Raw genomic sequence first — 25,356 nt, forward strand, 5'->3', positions numbered from 1 at the left:
ATAATAATTGCCATGAGTAGAAAAGCCAGTAAGGTGCTTTCTTTTAAGCTTCACTTTTGGGCTCACCTGGTCTCAATTTTTCTGATTCTCTATGAAAACACACCTTTAGTATTTATTACTTTGCTTGTTAGGGTGGCTTTTTAAATTTGAGACAGGACCTGGCTGTCACCCAGGCTGGAGGCAGTGGCACAATCTTGGCTCACTGCAACCTCTGCCTCCCGGGCTCAAGCTGTCCTCCCACTTCAGCCTCCTGAGTAGCTGGGACTAGAGGCACACGCCACTTACGTCCAGCTAATTTTTATATTTTTTGTAGAGACAGGGTTTCACCATGTTGCCCAGGCTGGTCTCAGAACTCCTAAGCTCAAACAATCTGTCCGCCTTGGCCTCCCAAGTGTTGGGATTACAGGCATGAGCCAGTACAGGCACGCCTGGCCTAGGGGTGGCAATTTAATACAGAAAAAAAATCAAACTTGATACCTAGGTCAGAATCCTATCCCTGCCATTTATTAACTCTATGGCTTGTGCCACTCTGTTCCCTTACTCTCCTAGATGCCTATTTCACACATTCCCCTACCCCAAATCTCTATCACCATGATCTCCATGACCACTCTCAATTGACGATCCCACCACTTTGCTCAGTGTCCTATCCTCTTGCCTCAAGGACTTCCATTTTCTATTTATTTCCTCTCCTCTATCATCAGTCTCTCTCTCTTTCCTCTCTATTCATTCTCATTAGCCAAACAGCTTTTAGTAAGTTACTAGACCAGCATCTTAAAGCTAGTGATCAATTTCTTTCCTAGGCTTTCACAGACCACATTCTTCAGTTTTTCCTCCTCCCCTCACTGCTACTCCTCCTTAATCTCATTTGTTGGCTCCTCCCACCCATCCAACTAATAGGTACTACTTGGATACCTCCTACATCTCAAATATAGCATGGTCAAAATTGAACTGATGACGATTATCCCATATACCTAATTCAGTCCTCCCCCAAGTCGTTCCTATGACAGTAATACTACCATCTACCCAATTGCTCAGATCAAACCTCATTTGTCCTTAATTTTTCTCTCTCCACTCACAGCCCACTCCACATACCTGCTTATCCTCTTTCTGACCTTACCTCTTTCCATAGTCCCTCCTCCTCATTCTCTAGGTTTTAGCCACATTAGCCTTCTCTCTGTCCCTCATACATTCCAAGATAATTTCTGGCTCACAGCCCTTTCACCTGCTTGTTCCTTCTTGGAATACCATTCCCTCCAGATCTTCACCAGACTGCTGCTTCTCGATAATAAAATGACATCTCACACAGCCATAAAAATGAATGAAATCATGTTGTTTGCAGCAACATGTATGGAGCTGGAGGCCATTATCCTTAGTGAACTAACTCAGAAACAAAAGACCAAATACTAAATGTTCTCACTTGTAAGTGGGAGCTAAACAATGGGTACACATGGACATAAAGAAGGAAATAATTAACACTTGGGGCTCCAAAAGATAGGGCAGTGGGTTGAAAAATTACCTAATGGGGGCTGGGTGCCGTGGCTCACGCTTGTAATCCCAGCACTTTGGGAGGCCAAGATAGGTGGATCACCTGAGGTCAGGAGTTCCAGACCAGCCTGGCCAACATGTCAAAACCCCGTCTCTACCAAAAATACAAAAATTAGCTGGGCATGATAGCGGGTGCCTGTAATCCCACCTACTTGGGAGGCTGAGGCAGAAGAATCACTTGAACCCGGGAGGCAGAGGTTGCAGTGTGCCGAGATGACGCCACTGCACTCCAGCCTGGGCAACAGAGCAAGAATCCATCTAAAAAAAAGGATTACCTAGTGAGTACAATGTTCACTACTATTTGGGTAATGGGCACACTAGAAGCCCAATCCCCACCAACATGCAACATACACGTGTAACAAACATGCACATGTACCCTTTGAATCTAAAATAATTTTTTTAAAAAGATGACACCTCAAATGTTATTTCCTTTGAGATTCTCCCATCATTCTATATTATAGTACCTTATTTTATTCCTAGCATTTATTATTATTTTTATTTTATTTTATTTTTATTTTTGAGATGGGGTCTTACTCTGTCGCCAGGCTGGATTGCAGTAGCGTGATCTCGACTCACTGCAAACTCCACTTCCTGGGTTCAAGCGATTCTCCTGCCTCAGCTTCCCGAGTAGCTGAGACTACAGGCAAGCACCACCACACCCAGCTAATTTTTGTATTTTTAGTAGAGATGGGGTTTCACCATGTTGGCCAGGATGGTCTCGATCTCTTGACCTTGTGATCCACCCACCTCAGCCACCCAAAGTGCTGGGATTGTAGGTGTGAGCCACCGCGCCCAGCCTTCCTAGTATTTATTACTATAAGAGTTGGTTGTTTATTTTTTATTTATAAATATTTTATGTAATGCCCATTTCCTCCCACTAGCATACAAGCTTCTTTAGGACAGAGATTTGGTTTTATCTTGTTTACAGCTGCATTTAACTGCCAAAAACACCACTTAGAAGATATGGAGCACTCAATAAATATCTGACATTATTATAAATTTTTCTTTTTTTCTGAGACAGAATCTTGCTGTCGCCCAGGCTGGAGTGCAATAGTGCGATCTTGGCTCACTGCAACCTCTGCCTCCCAGGTTCAAGCAATTCTCCTGCCTCATCCTCCCAAGTAACTGAGATTACAGGCACCCGCCACCACACCCAGCTAATTTTATTTTTTTTTTAGTAGAGATGGGGTTTTGCCAAGTTGACCAGGCTGGTCTCGAACTCCTGACCTCAGGTGATCCACCCGCCTCAGTGTCCCAAAGTACTGGGATTACAGTATTATCACTTTCTTTTTTTTTTGAGACGGAGTCTCGCTCTGTCGCCCAGGCTGGAGTGCAGTGGCGCGATCTCGGCTCACTGCAAGCTCCGCCTCCCGGGTTCACGCCATTCTCCTGCCTCAGCCTCCCGAGTAGCTGGGACTACAGGCGCCCGCCGCCACGCCTGGCTAATTTTTTTGTATTTTCAGTAGAGACGGGGTTTCACCGTGTCAGCCAGGATGGTCTCGATCTCCTGACCTCGTGATCCGCCCGCCTCAGCCTCCCAAAGTGCTGGGATTACAGGCGTGAGCCACCGCGCCCGGCCCACTTTCTTTTTTTTTGAAACCAAGTCTCACTCTGTCGCCCAGGCTGGAGTACAGTGGCGCGATCTCAGCTCACTGCAACCTCCACCTCCTGGGTTCAAGCGAATCTCCTGCCTCAGCCTCCCATGTATAGCTGGGATTACAGGTGTTATTATTATTATTATATTTTGAGATGAAATTTCACTCTTGTTGCCCAGGCTGAAGTGCAATGGCATGATCTCGGCTCACCACAACCTCCACCTCCCAGGTTCAAGTGATTCTCCTGCCTCAGCCTCCCAACTAGCTGGGATTACAGGCATGTACCATCAAGCCTGGCTAATTTTGTATTTTTAGTAGAGATGAGGTTTCTCCATGTTGGTCAGGCTGGTCTTGAACTCCCAAACTCTGGTGATTCACCCACCTTGGCCTCCCAAAGTGCTAGGATTACAGGCGTGAGCCACCGCGCCCAGTCAAGCCTGGCTAATTTTTGTATTTTTAGTAGAGACGGGGTTTCACCATGTTGGCCAGGCTGGTCTCAAATTCCTGGTCTCAAGTGATCTGCCCACCTCAGCCTCCCAAAGTGCTGGGATTATCATTTTCCTACCTAGTTAAGCTGCTTTTACACTACTCCCCAGAAGGAATCTCAATAGCTATGGTGGTCTCTTTTAAGTTCAAATCTAGATCAGTCTTGTTCAACGTCTTTCTTTCTTTTCTTTTTTTTGACAGGGTCTTGCTCTGTTACCCACTGTCACCCAGAGTCTAGGCTGGAGTGCTATGGCACGATCATAGCTCATTGCAGCCTCGAACTCCTGGGTTCAAGCAATCCTCCCTCCCAAGTCTCCTCAGCTGGCTAATTTTCTTTAACTTTTTATAGAGACGGGCTCACTTATCTTGCCCAAGCTCTCAAATTATTTTTTGTATTGCTCGTTTCATCACCTTCCTCCCTCTCAGCCTCCACACTACACACATACCACATCACCCCCATATCTACCTTAATCCACTCAGGGACCACTAAAGCCTTTCCTTCCTTTGACAATTATCTGAATGTCTAGTAGGTACTCAGCACTATTATGCCTTTTCCTATCCTTTTCTTACCTTTCCAGATACTACTACTAAATTCAACTCCTACAGCATATACTTTACAATCTGACAATCACATACAGCCTTGACTTGCATTTATTGTTCTTGTCTCCCCATATAGAGTTTAAATTTCAAAGAGACAAAGGCAACATCTTGTCCTTATTATATAATCTCCCCTGGGCCTAACATTCCCGTTCCTATCATACATTCTCGTTACTTTTTGAATCAAAGAAACTCCTTAACAACAGTACTAGTTTTTAGCTTCCTCACTTCAAGCAATTCTTAAAGGAAAAGAGGGAAACATCTCAAAACTGACATGTAGAAAAAGCAAGATATATAGGCCATAAAATTTATGAAATTTGCCGCATTCTCATCTAAGAACAAGGACACGTGAAGACAAGTGAATTAAAAAAAAACACTGATGAAAAATATACGTTATTTATGTGGTCAATAAAGCTATGAGTGATACACTGCTTTATCAAAGACATTGAAATTTCAGGTAAAGCACTTTGGAGTAAGTATGCTAACCTGAACTAGCATGAGTAGACTTGATATACAAGCACTCCTTCTCACTTGTTTAAGTCCACATCTTCAACTGGTATAGTATCTCAAACATACAAAGAATCCTATTGATCAATATATACCGACTAAATCTAGAAAAAAATAACTTGATCATACTCACCAACTATTCTTACACCCCAAAAATAGCTGAAACTTTATTTTAATGTGGAATTACTACACAAGTGAGTAAAGCTAACTTATTTTCTTTAAAAAAGTCACTTCTAACAAGAAGTGACTTTGTTAAAAAGCTAATCTCAAATGTGTCACTACGGAATTCTAATCAGTGAGGAAAGGTTAAGACTATAATCCCAAATGTTAACAACTGTATTTATGCCTGAAATGTTTCTCTACTTGTCTGCCAAATAGATACACAAGAATACCTACCTAAAGTGAATGATATTCACCTGTTAAAGCCATCTGCTTTTTCCAAAACCCATAAGTTGGAACGTTGGGTGACCTAACCTGAACATTTTAGAGCCCAGTGTTGAAGACTATTGTATTCAATTGAATTCCAGTAATTTTACTCATTACTCTGAGTTAATCTTTTCAATTATCCATTTGTTTTCCTCATTAGCAAAAAGTGAGAGAGGAAAACCTCCAATACCAAATAAGCCTCAAAAGATAAATATGCATAAATGCTGAAATTCATCTTTAGTACAAGCCAGTGAATCACACAGAAAGAGTTGACTGGCCAGGTGCAGTGGCTCACGCCTGTAATCTCAGCACTTTGGGAGGCCAAGGCGGGTGGATCACTTGAGGTCAGGAGTTCAAGATCAGCCTGGCCAACATGGTGAAATCCTGTCTCTACTAAAAATACAAAAATTAGCCAGGCATGGTGGCAGTCATCTGTAATCCCAGCTACTCGGGAGGCTAAGGCACAAGAATTACTTGAATCCCAGTGGGGTGGAGGTTGCAGTGAGCTGAGATTGCGCCATTGCACTCCAGCCTGGGTGACACAGCGAGACTCTGTCTCAAATAAAAAATTAAAATTAAAATTAAAAATTCTAAGTATCGAATACGAAGAAAGACATGAGATAGGTTTCTGAGGGAGATGGCTTGTTATAATTAGACTATTATAATTAGACTGTAGACTCTAAGCTCGCTTGGTTAATATTGTTTTTTTGTGAGACAGGATCTCACTGCCCTCACCCAGGCTGGAGTGCAGTGTCATGATCTTGGTTCACTGCAACCTCACACCACCCACCCCCGCCCCATTCTAGTGATCCTCCCACCTCAGCCTCCCAAGTAGCTAGGATTATAGGCACACACCACCATGCCTGGCTAATTTTTGAATTTTTAGTAGGGATGGGGTTTCACCATGTTGCCCAGGCTGGTCTCAAACTCCTGGGCTCAAGCGATCTGCCTGCCTCAGCCTCCCAAAGTGCTGGGATTACAAGCATGAGCCACTGCACCCAGTTGGTTAATGTTTAAACTGTACCTATCTTGTATTGTACCAGACTAAGTACTTATGTCAGCCTTCCTGTCCTACTCTTGCTTAACCACATTAAATGAGAATACAAAAACAGCTCTTTCAAGTTACAGCCTTTCATGCAAATTAGCTCTGAAAAACCCACCTTCTAAATAAAAACACAGAAATAAAACCTGTGATGTGATTAAATGGAAAGACATGAGAAAGACAAGGTCTCTCTTTTTATACATATTTCAGATCTCTTTCCATCATAAATAACTGCTTACTTTCATCTTAATACTAAAAATGCTTCTGAAAATAATTTTATTATTTCATGTTTCACAAGTAAGTTTTCTTTTGTTATAAAGAAAAAATAAAAAAATGTGTGGGCTGCTTTCTATTTTAGAAACATACCAAGTACAACAATTCAAAAAGTTTCTAGCATAAGTTACCACCCGACCAAAATCAAAACACATTAAAAAACAATTCAGTACTCTTACGGAACAAAAGCTTAAATGCAATAAAAATAGCCATTGTTTATTTTCTGGTTTTGGTAAAGAGTTTAAGCATTTTTTTTTCATTGTAATTAATGTCTGAGGTATAGAAGGAAAAGGTTTCAAGTCAACTAACACAACTACAAGTAGGGTAAAAGCTATCCATACCTTAAAAAAAACACTTGAAACACATATTCTTACAAGGCAAAGCCAAATGATAATATAGGATGATTGTGAATTACAATGCACTGAATGCACCACTATCCATCATTTCATACAGAAAAAGGTTAAAATAAACTGCAAAAGGCTATCTGTGTGCTAGTAAAAGGTTGTAACAGTGACTGAATAACCCTGGTACATCCGTTCAATGTGGTAGTATGCAGCTTCAAAAAGTTCTAATTACGAACTTTGATCTAAAAGATCATAATAATGGGCTGGACGTGGTAGCTCCCCCATCTGTAATCCCAGCACTTTGGGAGGCTGAGGCAGTAGGGTTGTTTGAGGCTAGGAGTTCGAGACCATCCTGAGCAACATAGTGAGACCTCGCCTCTACAAAAAATAAGCAAAATTAGCCAGGTGTGATGGTGTGCGCCTGTAGTCCCAGCTACTCAGGAGGCTGAGGTGAGAAGACTGCTTGAGCCCCAGAGGCCAAGGGTGCAGTGAGATGACATGGTGCCACTGCACTCCAGCCTGGGTGACAGAGCAAGAATCTAAGTTAATTAATTAATTTAATTAAAATAAAAGGTCATAATGAAGATCTCTGTATACTGCTCCGGAATGTACTGTTAAGGAAAAAAAGCAAGAAACAAAACAGTAAATTTAGTATGCTACTTCGTGGTGGGGGGAGGTGGGGAAGGGGAATACCATATATACATTGTCTTTTTTTTTTTTTTTGAGATGGAGTTTTGCCCTTGTCGGCCAGGCTGGAGTGCAATGGCGCAATCTCGCTCACTGCAACCTCCGCCTCCCAGGTTCAAGCAATTCTCCTGCCTCAGCCTTCTGAGTAGCTGGGATTACAGGAGCCTGCCACCACGCCCAACTGATTTTTTGTATTTTTAGCAGAGATGGGGTTTCACCATGTTGGCCAGGCTGGTCTTGAACTCCTGACCTCAGGTGATCTGCCCCACCTCAGCCTCCCAAAGTGCTGGGATTACAGGCGTGAGCCACTGCGCCTGGCTCATTGGCTTCTTATTTTCAAAATGGAAAAATGAAAGTTGGGGCTGGGCATGGTGGGTCACACCTGTAATCCCAGCACTTTGGGAGGCTGATGCTGGAGGATCACTTGAGCCCAAGGAGCTCAAGACTAGTCTGGGCAACATAGTGAGAGCCCATTTCTACAAAAAATTTAAAAATTAGCCAGGCGTTGGTGATGCATGCCTGTAGTCCCAGGTACTCAGCAGGATGAGGCAGGACCACTGCTTGAGCCCAGGACGTCAAGGATGCAGTGAGCTACGATCTCACCACTGCATTCCACCGTGAGCAACAGAGCAAGACCCCGTCTCAAAAAACAAAACAAAAAAACTTTATTGGGGAAAAAACCTTAACAAAAGTAGACATAAAATTCTGCTGTGTTCAAGGAGAGAAACACTAATATTCCAAATATTTAAATCCACTTTCCACCTATCTGTAATCTTTTAGGATAAGGCACTACAGTGCTAAATTTTCATTTCCTGCAAAAAATATCTTTTGTGCTCTTAAGGTAAACAGAAAAATAAGAGTATTTTTGAACATCATTTTGCAGATTAGAATTGCTATCTAGTCTACTGATCTTTTTAATTTCTGTAAGTTGCTCATTATTAAATACTAACAGTATATAACTGCATATTCATATAATAAAGCTAGTTGATCTATAAAACAAACTTTTATCAGAACTTTATCCCATTGGTTTTATATCTCAAATGTCAAGTTACATTATACCAGAACTTTTTTTTTTTATTTTGAGACGGAGTCTCGCTGTCGCCCAGGCTGGAGTGCAGTGGCGCGATCTCGGCTCACTGCAACCTCCACCTCCCGGGTTCATGCCATTCTCCTGCCTCAGCCTCCCGAGTAGCTGGGACTACAGACACCCACCACCACACCCGGCTAATTTTTTGTACTTTTAGTAGAGACGGGGTTTCACCGTGTTAGCCAGGATGGTCCCGATCTCCTGACCTCGTGATCTGCCCGCCTCGGCCTCCCAAAGTGCCGGGATTACAGGCATGAGCCACTGCGCCCGGCCACATTACACCAGAACTTAAGAAAATGCAGTTGTCCCACAGCTCTAGCTGTCAAGTTTCTAGCCACTTAATCAGAGACAAAACTTAAGTGCTATAAACAGCTCACTTGAGGAGGCCAAATCTTATGCTCTATGACAAAGAACTACTCCAAGCTGACAAAGTAAATGTATACCTCACAGAAACAACACAGGGCAAAATATCAGAAGCCAGGTGCAGTGACTCACACCTGTAATCCCAACATTTTGGGAGGCCAAGGCAGGAGGATCACTTGAGCCCAGGAGTTCAAGACCAGCCTGGGCAGCACTGTGAGACCCTGTCTCTAAAAAAAATTATAAAAATAAATAAGTCCAGCCGGGTGCAGTGGCTCATGCCTGTAATCCCAGCACTTTGGGAGACCGAGGCAGGCGAATCACGAGGTCAAGAGAGCGAGACCATCCTGGCCAACATGGTGAAACCCCGTCTCTGCTAAAAATACAAAAATTAGCTAGGCGTGGTGGTGCATGCCTATAGTCCCAGTCTCAGCCACTTGGGAAACTGAGGCAGGAGAATCGCTTGAACCAGGGAGTCAGAGGTTGCACTGAGCCGAGTTCGCACCACTGCACTCCAGCCTGGTGACAGAGCGAGACTCCGTCTCAAAATATAAAAATAAAAAATAAGTAAGTCCAGAAAAAGAAATAAGGCCAGGCACGGTGGCCCACACCTGTAATCCCAGCACTTTGGGAGGTCGAGGCGGGTGGATCACTTGAGGCCAGTAGTTCATGCCAACGTGGTTAAAACCCCATGTCTACAAAAAATACAAAAATTAGATGGGCACACACCCGTAATCCCAGCTACTCGGGAGGCTGAGGTACGAGAATCGCTTGAACCCGGGAAGCTGAGGCTGCAGTGAGCTGAGATCACACCACTGCACTCCAGCCTGGGCGACAAGTGAGACTCTGTCTCAAAAACAATCAATCAATCAAACAAACAAACAATAAATAAATATTTTAAAAATAACAGAATATGGCTTGGAATTAAATAGTAGACAATATTATATCCAAAAGTTAAAGTACGCAGCTGGTTTTCATGCCTACATCTACAGAGGTGAGAACACTGAAAAATCAAAACTGACAATGTGTAAACATAACTAGAATGATGAAAAAAACTGCAGGTTGAGTAACGCTTACTGAAAACACTTGGGACAGTAAGTATGTCCAACTTTTTCAGATTCTGGAATATCTGCATATACACGAGATATCTTGGGGCCAGATATCTTGGACCCAAGTCTACACACCAAATTTGTTTATGTTTCATATACCCCTTATACACATGGCCTGAAGGTAATTTTATACAATATTTTTTAATAATTTTGGGACATGGAATAAACTGTGTTGTATGCCTGTGTTTTGTTTTTGTTTTTAAGAGACGGGGTCTTGCTTTGTTGCCCAGGCTGGAGCAAGTACAGTAGTACAATCCCAGCTTGCTGCAGCCTTGAACTCCTGGACTCAAATGATCCTCCTACCTCAGGCTCCTGAAGGGACTACAGGTGCATGCCACCATGCCCAGCTTGGCTGTGTTTTGACTGCAGCCCCTCACATCAGGTCATGTGTAAAATTTCCCACTGTGGCATCATGTCAGCATTAAAAAAGTTTTAACTTTTGGAGCATTTCAGATTTCACATTTTTGGATTCAGCTGAGGCCTGTATACAGTTTAAGAACTATATAACCTAAAAGGAACTATGCAGCTGAACAGGTGTGGTGGCTCATGCCTGTAGTCTCAGCACTTTGGGAGGCCCCCAACAGGAGGAGTGCTTAAGGCCAGGAATTTGAGACTGGCCTGGACAACATAGCGAGGCTCTGTCTCTACAAAAAATAAAAAATTAGCTGGGTATAGTGGCTTACATCTATAGTCCCAGATACTCAAGAGGCTGAGGCAGGAGGATCAGTTGAGCCCAGGAGTCTAAGGCTACAGTGAGCTATGATGGTGCCACTGCACTTCAGCCTGGGTGACAGAGCGAGACCCTGTCTCAAAAAAAAAAAAAAAAAAAAAAAAAAAGCTATACAGCCTAAATTGTCTGCTATGGTCTTTCTAGTGCCTCTGTCCAGAAAGCATATCCCACTTGCTCTTATCTCCCATCTTGTACTCTCAAAATGTCAGCTGGAGAGGTACCACCCACAGTACAATATATTAGGAGCAAAAGCTCTTATATTCAGTCAACCTGAATTTGAATACTGACTCCAAAGTTTTTTAACCTAAGTTACTAAAAGAAATGGAGGCCAAAGAAGCTAGCTATAAAACTGAAATAGTACTATATTTACTTTAAAAAGAGAACGAGTGTCTATTTAAAATCCTTCATATAGCCGGGTGTGGTGGCTCACGCCTGTAATTCCCACACTTTGGGAGGCCGAGGCAGGCGGATCACCTGAGGTCAGGAGTTCAAGACCAGCCTGGCCAACATAGCGAAACCCCGTCTCTACTAAAAATACAAAAATTAACCAGTCATAGTGGTAGTCGCCTCTAATACCAGCTACTCGGGAGGCTGAGGCAGGAGAATCGCTTGAATCCAGAGGCAGAGGTTGCAGTAAGCCGAGGTCATGCCACTACTCTCCAACCTGGGCGACACAGTGAGACTCCGTCTAAAAAAAAAAAAAAAAATTCCTTCATATAGGCCAGGCATGATGGCACATGCCTGTAATCCCAGCATTCTAAGAGGCCAAGGCGAGATGACTGCTTGAAGCCAGGAGTTCAAAACCAGCCCGGGCAACATGGAGAGATCTTGCCTCTACAAAAAAATTTTAGAATTATCCAGGTATACTGGCGTTTGCCTGTGGTCCCAGCTGCTTGGGAGGCTGAGACAGGAGAATCACTTGAGAGTCCAGGAAGTCAAAACTGCAGTGAGCCAGGTTTGCATTACTAGTCCACTCTAGGTGACAGAGTGAGACCCTGTCTTCAAAAAAAAAAAAAAATTCCTTCATATAGTGCCTGGCAGAGAGTTTATACTCAATAAATGAGAGCTGTAACATATTTGTTTTTGTTTGTTTGAGACAGGGTCTCACTCTGTTGCCCAGGCTGAAGTGCAGTGGTGCAATCTCAGCTCACTGCAACCTCTGCCTCCCAGGTTCAAGCAATTCTCCTGCCTCAGCCTCCCAAGTAGCTGGGATTACAGGAACTCGCCACCACACCCGCTAATTTTTTTTGTATTTTTAGTAGAGACAGGGTTTCACCATGTTGGCCAGGCTGGTCTCGAATTCCTGACCTCAGGTGATCTGCCCTCCTCAGCCTCCCAAAGTGCTGGGATTACAGGCGTGAGCCACCAAGCCTAGCCACTGCATGTCATTTTTTTTTTTTTTTTTGAGACATAGTCTCACCCTGTCGCCCAGGATGGAGTGCAGTGACGTGATCTTGGCTCACTACAACCTCTGCCTCCTCGGTTCGAACGATTCTCCTGCCTCAGCCGCCCGACTAGCTGGGACTACAGGCATGCACCACCACGCCCAGCTAATTGTTGTATTTTTAGTAGAGACAGGGTTTCACCAGGCTGGTCTGGAACTCCTGATGTCAGGTGATCCACCTGCCTCAGCCTCCCAAAGTGCTGGGATTACAGGTGTGAGCCACTGTGCCCAGCCAGCATGTCATTTTTTAAGATAGTTTCTAGGCCGGGCGCGGTGGCTCACTCCTGTAATCCCAGCACTTTGGGAGGCCAAGGCGGGCAGATTACGGTCAGGAGATCGAGACCATCCTGGCTAACACAGTGAAACCCTGTCTCTACTAAAAATACAAAAAAAATTAGCCGGGCAAGGTGGTGGGCGCCTGTAGTCCCAGCTACTTGGGAGGCTGAAGCAGGAGAATGGCATGAACCCGGGAGGCGGAGCTTGCAGTGAGCAAACACCACTGCACGCCAGCCTGGGCGACAGAGCAAGACTCTGTCTCAAAAAAAAAAAAAAAAAAAAAAGATATTTTCTTTCAGCTCCTATACTTTCTGCACTCTTGTTCATAAAGGTATGCTTAGAACCCTCTTACAAAATTAAAGTATTATACTCATTGGTGGGCTAAAAATATATTTTAGTAAACCTAGGCTTCAACTATAACATAACCAACTGAAACTTGTTTTTTTGGTTGTGTTTTGTTGTTGTTGTTGTTGTTGTTGTTGTTGTTGTTTTTGATAAAGCGTCTCGTTCTGTCACCCAGGCTGGATTGCAGTGGCGCGATCTCAGCTCACTGCAACCTCTGCCTCCTGGGTTCAAACAATTCTCCTGCCTCAGCCTCCCAAGTAGTTGGGATTACAGGCACCCACTGCCACGCCGGGCTAATTTTTGTATTTTTAGTAGAGACAGGGTTTTGCCATGTTGCCCAGGCTGGTCCCAAACTCCTGACCTCAGGGGATCCGCCCACCTCAGCCTCCCAAAGTGCTCGGATTACAGACATGAGCCACTGTGCCTGGCCCTGAAACTTTATTGAAACAGAACAATGTTACTCCCCTCAAACTTTCTTTTAATGAAGACAAAAAATACAAAAACAGGGAAATTTCAAAGTACAATCTGTGTTCAAGTATTCTCCAATTTTTTATACCTTCTTTCTACCTCTATACTATTCTAAAATGAGCACTGGTTTTTAAATGAACTTCAAATAAATGCACATTTCTGAATCAGACAATCATTAATTAGGGTCTTAAATTAATGATGTTTGACTTAGAACTGAGGTTAGAATAATAAAAACCCCATTTTCCAGTAGGAAAAACTTTATAGACATCCAATCGACTTACATACAAGTTTCTTTTTTAAAAGTGGCCATAGGCCAGGCACGGTGGCTCACGCCTGTAATCCCAGCACTTTGGGAGGCTGAGGCGGGAGGATCACTACATGGAATAATGGTGAATGAAGGCTTGAGTTTCATACGGGATTAAGCTCATTTCCAGTAAAGATTTCAGACTACTTAAGGCACCTGGACAGAAAAACGGGCAGATCTGAATGATCCCCATATCCAGTTTACCTTTTGCTGAATGATATTCATACCCATAATCCTCCAGCATATACATTTGCAAAGTCAGAGGAAAGAACCAATTCAAATACAGAATCACCTGCACCCTCCAAATTGAACAATTATAAGTACATCAAGGTCAATTCTGAAGACCTTTAGGAAAACAAGTAACTCAATACAGAAATCCAGTTGTTTATGAATGGCAGCTATTCTAAATGTTATTCCTTAACATCATTAAAAAGTCAGTTTTGGACAAACTGGTAAATGAATATTACCCAAGTTCTGATATGCCACTAAACTAGCTAGTGAGCACAACCTGTATGTCTTTGGACTTCCTTTTCTTCCCTTTATAAAATTAGAGGCACTAGCTCCCCTTGCCCTTTTAAAATCACACTCATGGCAAGTCACAATGAGCAAGCTAAAGGGGAAAAAAAAAAAGTTGGGAGCCACAGAAATGAGGAATTATTAGATATAGTAGAAGGACTCCCTACACTAGACACCTCTTATAGCACTCAGCAATTTACACTTGGTTAAAAACTGAAGGGGAAATGGGCATAGGGTTCATCCTCTCTCTGTATCCTCCCCCATAATGTAGCCCTACAACATCCTCTACCATCTGCCTACTCCATTTTTGCCTAAGTCCTACTCTTCAAGGCTAAGTTCAGGTATTCTTCTGGGCTGCCCTCCCTGATTGCCCACCTGATCCCCATCCCAGTAGAAGTCAGATATCCCTGCCATAGCACATTGTGCTTACTTCTGTATCCTTAGCACAGGTCTGGCATTCAACAAATGTTAGCTGAATAAATTGTCAAGAGTTCAAGAGTTCAATCTCAGCTAGTTGTTCTAAACATTAGGTTAAAAGGCTCGATATAATGAAAAGAGTTTAAATATAACGTTTTTAATTGCCTCATACAGTTAGAAACTGACAGACTTTAGAAAACTGAATTTTTTTGTATGCTAGGTATAAAAAGTATCAGCTACCCTAGAGAAGAACAAAAGCCTCTATTTTTGGAGTACTAAATTTTCTATCATTTTTCAGTGTCTTTTGGCATATCCAAAAATACTTTTTTTTTTTTTTTTTTTTGAGACAGAGTCTCGCTCTGTTGCCAGGCTGGAGTGCAGTGGCGCAATCTCGGCTCACTACAACCTCTGCCTCCTGGGTTCAAGCAATTCCCCTGCCTCAGCCTCCTGAGTAGCTGGGACTCCAGGCACCTGCCACCACGCCCGGCTAATTTTAATTTATCTTTTGTATTTTAGTAGAGATGGGGTTTCACCACGTTGGCCAGGATGGTCTCGATCTCCTGACCTTGTGATTCGCCCGCCTCGGCCTCCCAAAGTGCTGGGATTACAAGAATGAGCCACCGTGCGCGGCCTCAAAAATATCGTTTGATTTACCACTGCATCTGAGGTTCCTCACTTCCTTTTTGCCCGTAATATTTTGCCCATAATATTTATAAAGAGATAAATGAGATTACTGATCTGAGAAATTTGGATAGAAAGTCAACAGAACAAGGGTAAAGTGCAGCTTACCCTTAGTTTAAGGATTACCCATCCTGGAAAATACACAAGTACAAAACAACTGAAAAGGCTGGGAGAAAAAAGTGGTCTAGCATACCAACAGAAGAAGCATAAAAAGTGCTATGAGCACCAAGTCACTGCCATTAGCCCAACACATACCACTCAATTCCCTGACCTCTGTCCTAATCTTATAGTTATTTAAGAATGTCTGGTAATAGGCTGGGCACGGTGTCTCACGCCTGTAATCCCAGCACTTTGGGAAGCTGAGGTAGGGAGACTGCCTGAGTCCAGGAGTTCGAGACCCTGTCGCTACAAAAAATAAATAAATAAAATTAGGCGTAGTGGGAGGATTTCTTGAGCCTGGGAGGTTGAGGCTGCAGTGAGCCGTGATCGTGCCACTACATTTCAGCCTGAGTGACAGAGAAAGACCCTATCTTTAAAAAAAAAAAAAAAGAAAGAAAAAGAAAAAAGAAAAGCATGTATTATAATAGAGGTCAGCAATTATTAACAATGCTGCTGGTAATCAAATTAGAATAATGATCGTTACAAAGAATCAGGTCAATTCAAACATTTACTAAGCATGTACTACCATGTACCCAACTACTAGTTACTAGGATTCCTCCATTAAAAGAGAAGAACATATTCTATAATATATTCATCATGGGTCTTGAATTTTCTGATACATAGATCTACAAAATCCCTTAGGTCCTAGCAACAAAACCAAACAGGTCTAATGAGAATAGATGAATGCTAAGATAGCCAGGCTTCAATGAAATGTTAGCCTTTCTTGAAACTTCGTATTAATAATCAACCAAAACATCTTAAAAATTACAGAATTATAAAAATACATATATAAAAACATATCTTTTAAAAACTTATATGAAAAAATAGCATCGATGAAAATAAAAAAGCTTAAGCAATCGGTACATTTCAAAAAAGCACACAGCTAACAAAAAAATTGTGCAGCACACATACGCACAACTGGAAAAAAAGTCCTATCACAGATTCTAACTCCTGCTCCCAGTTTCATATCCTGACACCATCATGATCTTCTCTAAGAGCATGCCGCGTACAGTGGCTCATGTCTATAATCCCAGCATGTGGGGAGGCCAAGGCGGGTGGATCACCTGAGATCGGGAGTTCGAGACCAGCCTAGCCAACATAGTGAAACTCCATCTCTGCTAAAACACAAAAATTAGCCGGGCGTGGTGGTACGCGCCTGTAATCCCACCTACTTGGGAGGCTGAGGCAGGAGAATTACTTGAACCCGGGAAGCGGAGGTTGCAGAGAGCCAAGATCGCACCACTGCACTCCAGCCTGGGAGAGAGACCAAGACTCTTGTCTCAAAAAAAAAAAAAAAAAAAAGTTTGGAAAGAAAATAGGTAGTCAAAGAAGGAAGAGCACCAAATACTTCTTGCAAATCTCATCATCTCCCTAATTCATATGAGCAATACTATAATTGGGGGAACAGTCTTTTTATATTCAATCACTACGGTTTGAATGTGTTCAAGGTGTTCATATCAGCTAGTAACACTACTTCCTTACACAAACTGCTAATCTGCCAAAAAGTATACTATACTTTTCATAATTGTGACAACTGGTTTCCTGAATAATTGTACAACAAAAGTTGTTTTGTTTTTGTTCCTCAATAGACATGGTAAGCTTAAGCTTGAAAATATACCTATTATGGTTACCTTGAGGCAAACTTGAAGAGATTTTCACCAATTTCTAAAATGTTGTATTGTACCTCAAAGAAATTTGCCTTTACTACAGATAATTCTTAACTACATTTTCAGCACAGAACCAGTACCATAAAATGTGTAGCTTATGTTTTAGAGTTGATACTCCAATCAAGTATTGATAAATTAATGGAAGAGTCGTATTTTTAACCAGGCAATTTTTAACCAGATGTATTTTCAACCAGGTCTGTGTGTGCTCAAGGCCAGAATAAATGGATTTCTATAGAAAGAGTTTTTACAGTCATTTAATATAATTTGTGAAAAACAGTATTTGCTCCACTTTACATTCACACAAAACTCATAAAAAATTTAAACTTTAAACCTAGCATCTTCTGCTTCTTCAAATAGAGTATGTAATTAATAACTATTCATCATGAGGCCAAATATCAGACAAAAGCCTCAAAACACAAGTTAGACCACGGATTCACAAAGAGCTAACCATGAAGCAAATAGTGTTGATTACGATAATAGTCCTCCCCAAAGAGAGGGTCCAACCACACTTGGCAGGGAAGTGGGCCACAGGAAGAACTACAATTGGAAACCACCACTTGCTCTAGGTTCTTGCAAGCCCAGAGCAGTGCTCCCAGTAAGCAGACCTCCCAGAAGCCTGCCAGCACAATTGCAGTCTTATCAACACCCACATCATCCCAAGGATATTTTCACTTGCAAGATGTTAGCATTTGACAGAAAAAGCATTCTAAAATAAAAAGCAACTATGGGAATTCAGACCTATCTTAAACCTCCATTGAAATGACAATATGTTTGCTCAGCTGGAAAAAAGACTGAAGTAACCATTAGCTTGACCAAAAACACAAAAAACAGGCATGGTGGCTCACGCCTGTAATCCCAGCACTTTGGAAAGCTGAGGCAGGAGGATCACTTGAGACCAAGAGTTCAAGACCAGCCTGGGCAGTGAGGTGAGACCCAGTGAAGTGATTATCTAATTTTTAAAATTAAAAAATTAAAAAGCAAAGACTACCAAATTAAACAAAGTAAATTTACACAAATTCCAAAGCTAAGAGACTCAAATACAACATTTTATTACACAATTTTTATTAACCAAAAATTATACAAGGTAATTAACCAAAAATTATACAAGGTAATTGCCTTTCATTTGAATGAGAGACTTCCAAATACTGTATAAGTCCAACTATGGAAAAATGACAACAACAAACCTATCAAATTTTGTCTTAGCTCTGTTGGCCAGCCTCAAACCAACCATTTTCAAGAGACTCCCCACTTAAGGCCAGGCACAGGGGTGCCCAGCACTGTAATTCCAGTGCTTTGGGAGGCCGAGGTGGGAGGATTCCTTGAAGCCAGGAGTTTGAGACCAGCTTGGGCAACATAGTAAGACTCCTATCTCTACAAAAAAAATTTAAAAATTAGCTAGGTGTGGTGGCGCATGCCTGTTGTCCCAGCTACTTGGGAGGCTGAGGCAGGAGGATTGCTTGAGCCCAAGAGTTCGAGGCTACAGTGAACTGGGATCATACCACTGCACTCCAGCCTAGGTGACAAGGGAGGCCCTGATCCAAAAAAGAAAAAAAAAAAAAGAGATCCCACTTAAATGCCTTCAGTTTCCTTTTTAAAAGAAACAAGTAACTAATCAAAGTAAGGCAGGAATAAAAATTATCTGCTTAATCCATCAGTACCATATACAAATAGAAATAAGTACAGATTTTTTAAAAAACTCTAAACAAAATCCCCCAAACACCATCATAACCAGAAAAACTCACTCTGTGGAGAAATACATTTGGAAAGAGACACCTTCCACGTAGCACAATATGCCCTAAGGCTCTTTTAAACTGCCTAATATACTAACCAGACATCTTAAGAAAATCAAACAACTTAACATGGTACATCCATACTACAGAATATTGTTCAACTATTTAAAAAAATAAGCACGTCTTGGCCAGGCGCGATGGCTCACACCTGTTATCCCAGCACTTTGGGAGGCCAAGGAGGGCGGATCATGAGGTCAAAAAATGGAGACCATCCTGGCCAACATGGTGAAACCCCGTCTCTACTAAAAATATAAAAATTAGCTGGGCGTGGTGGTGCGCGCCTGTAGTCCCAGCTACTTGGGAGGCTGAGGCAGGAGAATCGCTTGAATCCAGGAGGCAAAGGTTGCAGTGAGCCGAGATTGTGCCACTGCACTCCAGCCTGGGCAAGAGAGCGAGACTCCATATCAAAAAGAAAGAAAGAAAGAAAGATAAGCATATCTTATATGTAAATGGAAACAAATACAGAATGTAGGAAAAAGGCAGAAAAATACATACAGTAATATGACTCCATTTGTGTAAAAAAATAAAAACCAAAAAAAGGAAAAGATCTCGAAAAATACATTAAGTTCTTGGATATGGTATTTGGAGAGGTGGAGCAGAGAAGAGATACTCAGGGAGGATTTTTACTTTTTCTTCTATAAACATTTGTATTGTCTGACCCTTTTGCAATAAGCATTTATTGTTGTGGTAATTAAAAAAACAAAACATTGGCCGGGCGCGGTGGCTCAGGCCTGTAATCCCAACACTTTGGGAGGCTGAGACGGACGGATCACAAGGTCAGGAGATCGAGACCATCCTGGCTAACATGGTGAAACCCATCTCTACTAAAAAAATACAAAAAATTAGCTGGGCGTGGTGGCGGGCGCCTGTAGTCCCAGCTACTCCGGAGGCTGAGGCAGGAGAATGGCGTGAGCCCAGGAGGCGGAGCTTGCAGTGAGCCGAGATCGCACCACCGCACTCCAGCCTGGGCGACAGAGCAAGACTCCATCTCAAAAAAAAAAAAATCTTAAACATACTATCAGACCCTGTTATTGTTTTTAAAATATCACATTCATGGTTAGTACATAGTAATAAAGTACTTCCAAAACAAATTTAAAGTTATCCTCAGAGATTGAAAAAGACTAAGAGACATGACAATTAAATGCAATGTGTAATACTAGATTGAAAAAAAAAGACATCTTTGGGACAACTGGCAAAATGTATAAATTACATATCAGGTAATAGTAGGGTTACAAATGTTAAAATGTCTGAATTTGATTACTGTATATTGATTATCTAAGACAATACTTGTTCTTAGGTAACACTATCAGATATTTAGGAAAGAAAGATCATGATGCCTGCAATTTACTCTCAAAAGGTTCTGCCAAAAGTAAATAAAACTTTTTTTAAAATATAGAAAGGTAATACAAACGTGGCAAAATTCCAATTACTGGTTAATCTAGGTTAAAAGTACATTATGGGAATTCACTGTGCTATTCTTGCAACTTTCCTGAAAGTTTAAAATTTTTTCAAAATAAAAAGTGTTTTCTGACAGGCGCAGTGGCTCACACCTGTAATCCCAGCACTTTGGGAGACTGAGGTGGGTGGATCACTTGAGGTCAGAAAACCAGCCTGGGCAGCATGGCAAACCCCATCTCTTCAAAAAATACAAAAATTAGCCGGGTGTGGTAGTGTGCACCTGTAGTCCTATCTACTCAGGACACTGAGGTGGGAGGATCGCTTGAGCCTCAGAGGCAGAGGTTGCAGTGAGCCAAGATTGTGCCACTGCACTCCAGCCTGGGTGACAGAGTGAGACCCTGTCTCACACACACATAAAAAAGTGTTTTTTTGTTTTTGTTGTTTTTTTTTTCTGTCAGAAAAACATTCTAACCTGATTTCAGTGACTTAGGTGTAAATGGCTTAGTTTCCAATATAAACTATCTCTCAGGGTTTTACAATAATAGTTCTTAGTGTATTACAAAATCAAGTACTCTACGGTACTCTTGGAAGAATTAACAGAAATGAAGCTAGTCAACTTTTTTAAGAAACTGAGCAAAGAACAATTAGCAAATTGAGCAGCCTCTTAACCAGGATAGGTTCAGAGAGGCTCCAGCAGAGCCACGTAATAGATTTATGGACAGAGAAGCTGGTCAACTTTTGATTCTCAAACCCAGGCTGGCCATCCTGCTTCCATCCAAAACCTGACAATGCTCATGGAACAATGAATATTAGGGTTGAGAAAATTTATTACAAATATCTATTACAGAATAAACTGTAATGTATTAAACAAAATTTTTAAGTGAATAAATTAAATCAACGAGTCACTACAGTGAAAAATGACTGAGAAGATCTGGAAACACCAAAGTCCTGCTAAGGAAACTAGGAAAGTATGACTGATAGATAATCTTGTATGTATAAAATACGGCTTGGCAACTAGAGACAATTCTTAGGAAAACACAGTTGTATCAACAGTTGCTTGATACTTTTCTAAAGACATAATGTGTCAATAAAAGGAGAATGGTATGCCTAAAATGTAGCAAAAGCAAATGGCAAAGAGGGACATGAATATTAAAGAGGTATACCCTAGCCTAAGCACTAGGATAGTTCAACAGGCTTTCCATACTTACCAGCAAACCCTCCAAGTACTATACTGGCCTCCTGTGCATCTCAGTAGCCCAAAGAAGGTAACCTGGCCTGTAGCACCATACCTCCATCACTACAAAGCTCTCTCTCTCATCAGAAAAATGGATTCAACTGTCTATAAAGCTACTAAAGGTCCAGATTATATATGAAATCTGGTAACCACATGATACTTTCTCTCAGTTGGCTTCCTAAGGTATCTCTATCTTCTCCATTCTAACATGAATTATAAGAATTTGACTTGCTGGGCACGGTGGCTCACATCTGTAATCCCAGCACTTTGGGAGGCCAAGGACAGGAGTTCGAGACCAGCCTGGGCAACACACCAAAACCCTGTCTCTATAAAAAATAAAAAATTAGCCAGGGCCAGGTGCAGTGGCTCACGACTATAATCCCAGCACTTTTGGGAAGCCGAAGCAGGAAGATCACTTGGGCTTAGGAGTTTGAGACCAGCCTGGGCAACATGGTGAAACCCCATCTCTACAAACAAAATTAGTTGGGCATGGTGGCATGTGCCCACAGTCCCCGCTACTCAGAAGGCTGAAGTGAGAGAATCACCTGAGCCTGGGAAGTTGAGGCTACAGTGAGCCATCATCGCGCCACTGCACTCCAGCCTGGGCAAGAGCGAAACCCTGTCTCAAAACAAAAAAATTAGCCAGGAGTGGTGGTGCACATTTGCAGTCCTAGATACATGGGACAATCACTTGAGCCCAGGAGTTCAGTTACAGTGAGCTATAATCTTGCCACTGTACTCTAACCTGGACAACAGAACAAGTCCCTAAAAATAAAAAATTAATATAGAATCTGACTATCCTGACTGCTTTGTATCTCATTTGAACATGCTGAAATATTCTTTCCCAGTTAAACTTTCTTTTGACCAAATTTGCCATACTTTCACATCATGGCGCCTCATAAGTACCGTTCTTTCTAGCTGACTTGTTCCATTCAATACTAACAATAAAAGAACTGACCAGGGGCGTGGTGGCTCATGCCTGTAATCCCAGCACTTTGGGAAGCCCAGGTGGGTGGATCACCTGAGGTCAGGAGTTCGAGACCAGCCTGACCAACATGGAGAAACCCCATCTCTACTAAAAATACAAAAGTAGACAGGCATGGTGGCGCATGCCTGTAATCCCAGCTACTCGGGAGGCTGAGGCAAGAGAACTGCTTAAACCCAGGGGGCAGAGGTTGTAGTGAGCCCAGATCACGCCACTGTACCCCAGCCTGGGCAACAAGAGCAAAACTCCATCTCAAAAAAAAAAAAGAAAAGAAAAAAAAAAGAAACTAACACTGTCCTAATTCTTAAATTCTCATAAAACCCTTTGCAGATGATACTACCATGATCCCCACTTTATAGGTAAGGAGTAATTAAGAAACTTGCCTAGGTTCACAAAGCAATTAAGTAAAAGAGATGAGATTCTAAACCAGGAGTTCTGTCTCCAGAGCCCAGGGATTTAACTTTTTTTGTGCCCTATACCATTTTGGCAATCTAATGAAGCTTGTGGATTCCTTCTCAGTCTAATATTTTTTAATGCATAAGATAAAATACATATGATTGCAAAGGAAGACAATTATATTGAGGGGAAAAAAACCAATGTGTCATATTGCTTAGTATGTGCTTCTCAATCTAGTGGATTTTGATATAATGATAAACATATTTCAAGATTCTATAAAAACCACAATACAGTTTGCCTTTGAACAACATGGGCTGGAACTGTCCAGGTCCACTTATACACAGATTTTTTTCAATAAAAGTTACACACCTTGTGCCTGCCTCCAGTTCTACCTCCTCCACCTCTGTCACTCAAGACAGCAAGACTAAAACCCCCTCCTCTTCTTCCTCCTCAGCCTACTCAGTGTGAAGACTACAAGGATGAAGACCTTTATGATGATCCACTTCCACTTAATGAATAATATATTTTCACTTCCTTATGATTTTCTTAATAACATTTTCTTTTCTCTAGCTTACTTTCTTGTAAGAATACAGTATATAATACACATAACATACAACAAAGTATGTGTTAGTAGACTATGTTCTCAGTAAAGTCAACAGTATCCTAGTAGCAGTTAAGTTTTGAGGGAGACAAAAGTTATATGCACATTTTTGACTGTGTTGCAGATTGGTACTTCTAACTCCCATGTTTGATCAAGAGTCACCTGCATATTTTATTATTAAAATATCTGATTTCTACACAAATCACAATTAATACTACTGTAGTTTGTTATTTATATTAGTAATTGAAAGAAATGCTAACTTCTAGTCAGAGGTTACCGAAGAGGTAATTTTCCCAAGTTCACAGATGTCATCCATGTTAAAACCTCAAACTGCACACTAAAACAGTTCTCTTAACACAGGCATTTAAAAAACCAATCAAGCCAAGTGTGGTGGTACACATCTATAGTTCCAGCTACTCAGGAGGCTGAGGTGGGAGAATGGCTTGAGCCCAGGCTGAAGACCAGCCTGGGGAAAATGTAAGATTCCATCTTAAAAAAAAAATAAAAAGACCAATCCTTGGCCCTTCTCTCTTTCTACCAAGGATTCTCTGGTAATCTCATCCAGCTTCATGGCTTGAATAATACCTAAACTGGTGAAAACAAAATTTATCTCCATTCCAGACCTTTCCCCTGAACTTCAGACTTGGTTATCAAATCAACTCAATATCTAACAGGCAATCTCAAACTTACTATGCCTAAAATTGAACTCCTCCTAATCTAGTCCTCAAATTTGCTCCTTTTAGTCATCACTGTCTTTGTTGATGGCAACTTTCTAACGCTGAGACCAGAAACCCTGGAATCATCCTTGGTTCCTCTCTCACATGTCATATTAGTTCCATCTTCAAAACATATCCAGTATCCATCCATTTCTCACTACTCTTATATTACCATCTTGGTACTGGCAGCATCTCTTTTCTGGATTACTAGCTTCCTTACTAGTCTCCAGGCTTCCACTGTTGTTCCCTTTGCAATTCAAATGATCCTTTGAAACTGAAAGCAGACTATGTCACTCTTCTGTTCAAAACTCTTGGCAAAGTTCTTAGAATGGCTTTACAAGACTGTAAAAAAGCTAAACCTCAGCCGAGAGCAGTGGCTCACACCTGTAATCCCAGCACTTTGGGAGGCCAAGGCAGGTGGATCATGAGGTCAGGAGTTCAAGACCAGCGTGGCCAAGAAGGTGAAACCCCATCTCTACCAAAAACACAAAAATTAGCCAGGCACAGTGGCAGGCGCCTGTAATCCCAGCTATTCAGGAGGCTGAAGCAGGAGAATCGCTTAAAGCCAGGGGGCAGAGGTTGCAGTGAGCCGAGATCACACCACTGCACTCCAGCCTGGGGGACAGAGTGAGACTCCATTCCAAAAAAAAAAAAAAGCTAAACCCCATCTCACCCTAACCCAGTTTATTATTACACCTTCTTGCTCATTCCATTCTAGCCATAATGGGCAAAACTCACAGGTCTGCCTCAACACCTTGAAACTATTCCCTCTTATTGAAATGCCTTCACCCCAGTTATTAACATGGCTACTTCTCCTTTAAATCTTTCCTAAATATCACTCTCTCAAGGATACTCACCCAGTATACCTCACTTTAAATTGCAACCTCTTCCTCAACAATTCTGAATCCCCCTTACTCTATTCCACTTTCCAAAGCACTTACCTTTGAACACTCTACATTATTTATTTAATTTTATTATTTTTTTTTCGAGATGGAATCTCCTTCTGTCCCCCAGGCTGGAGTGCAGTGGCACAATCTCAGCTCACGGCAACCTCCGCCTCCAGGTTCAAGCAATTCTCCTGCCTCAGCCTCCCGAGTAGCTGGGATTACAGGCGCCTGCCACCACACCAGACTAATTTTTTTTTTTTTTGTATTTTTAGTAGAGACGAGGT

The 25,356-nt window shown here is 41.9% G+C and overlaps 1 protein-coding gene across 6 annotated transcripts in view, besides 1 other annotated feature; it reads right to left on the bottom strand.

The window, feature by feature from the left end:
• Positions 1-25,356, bottom strand: part of SETD2 (SET domain containing 2, histone lysine methyltransferase) — a 148,405-nt gene that overhangs the window by 118,712 nt on the left and 4,337 nt on the right. The gene's annotated exons all lie outside the window — the stretch shown is intronic.
• Positions 7,127-7,226: a silencer, noted in NCBI's record as "silent region_14304". NCBI's record gives its function as "represses an Ori minimal core promoter by ATAC-STARR-seq in GM12878 lymphoblastoid cells {active_cell/tissue: GM12878}" and the evidence as "EXISTENCE:reporter gene assay evidence [ECO:0000049][PMID:35858748]".

The sequence above is a fragment of the Homo sapiens genome, chromosome 3, assembly GCF_000001405.40.
Source record: "Homo sapiens chromosome 3, GRCh38.p14 Primary Assembly".
In the NCBI taxonomy this organism is placed as follows: Eukaryota; Metazoa; Chordata; class Mammalia; order Primates; family Hominidae; genus Homo; species Homo sapiens.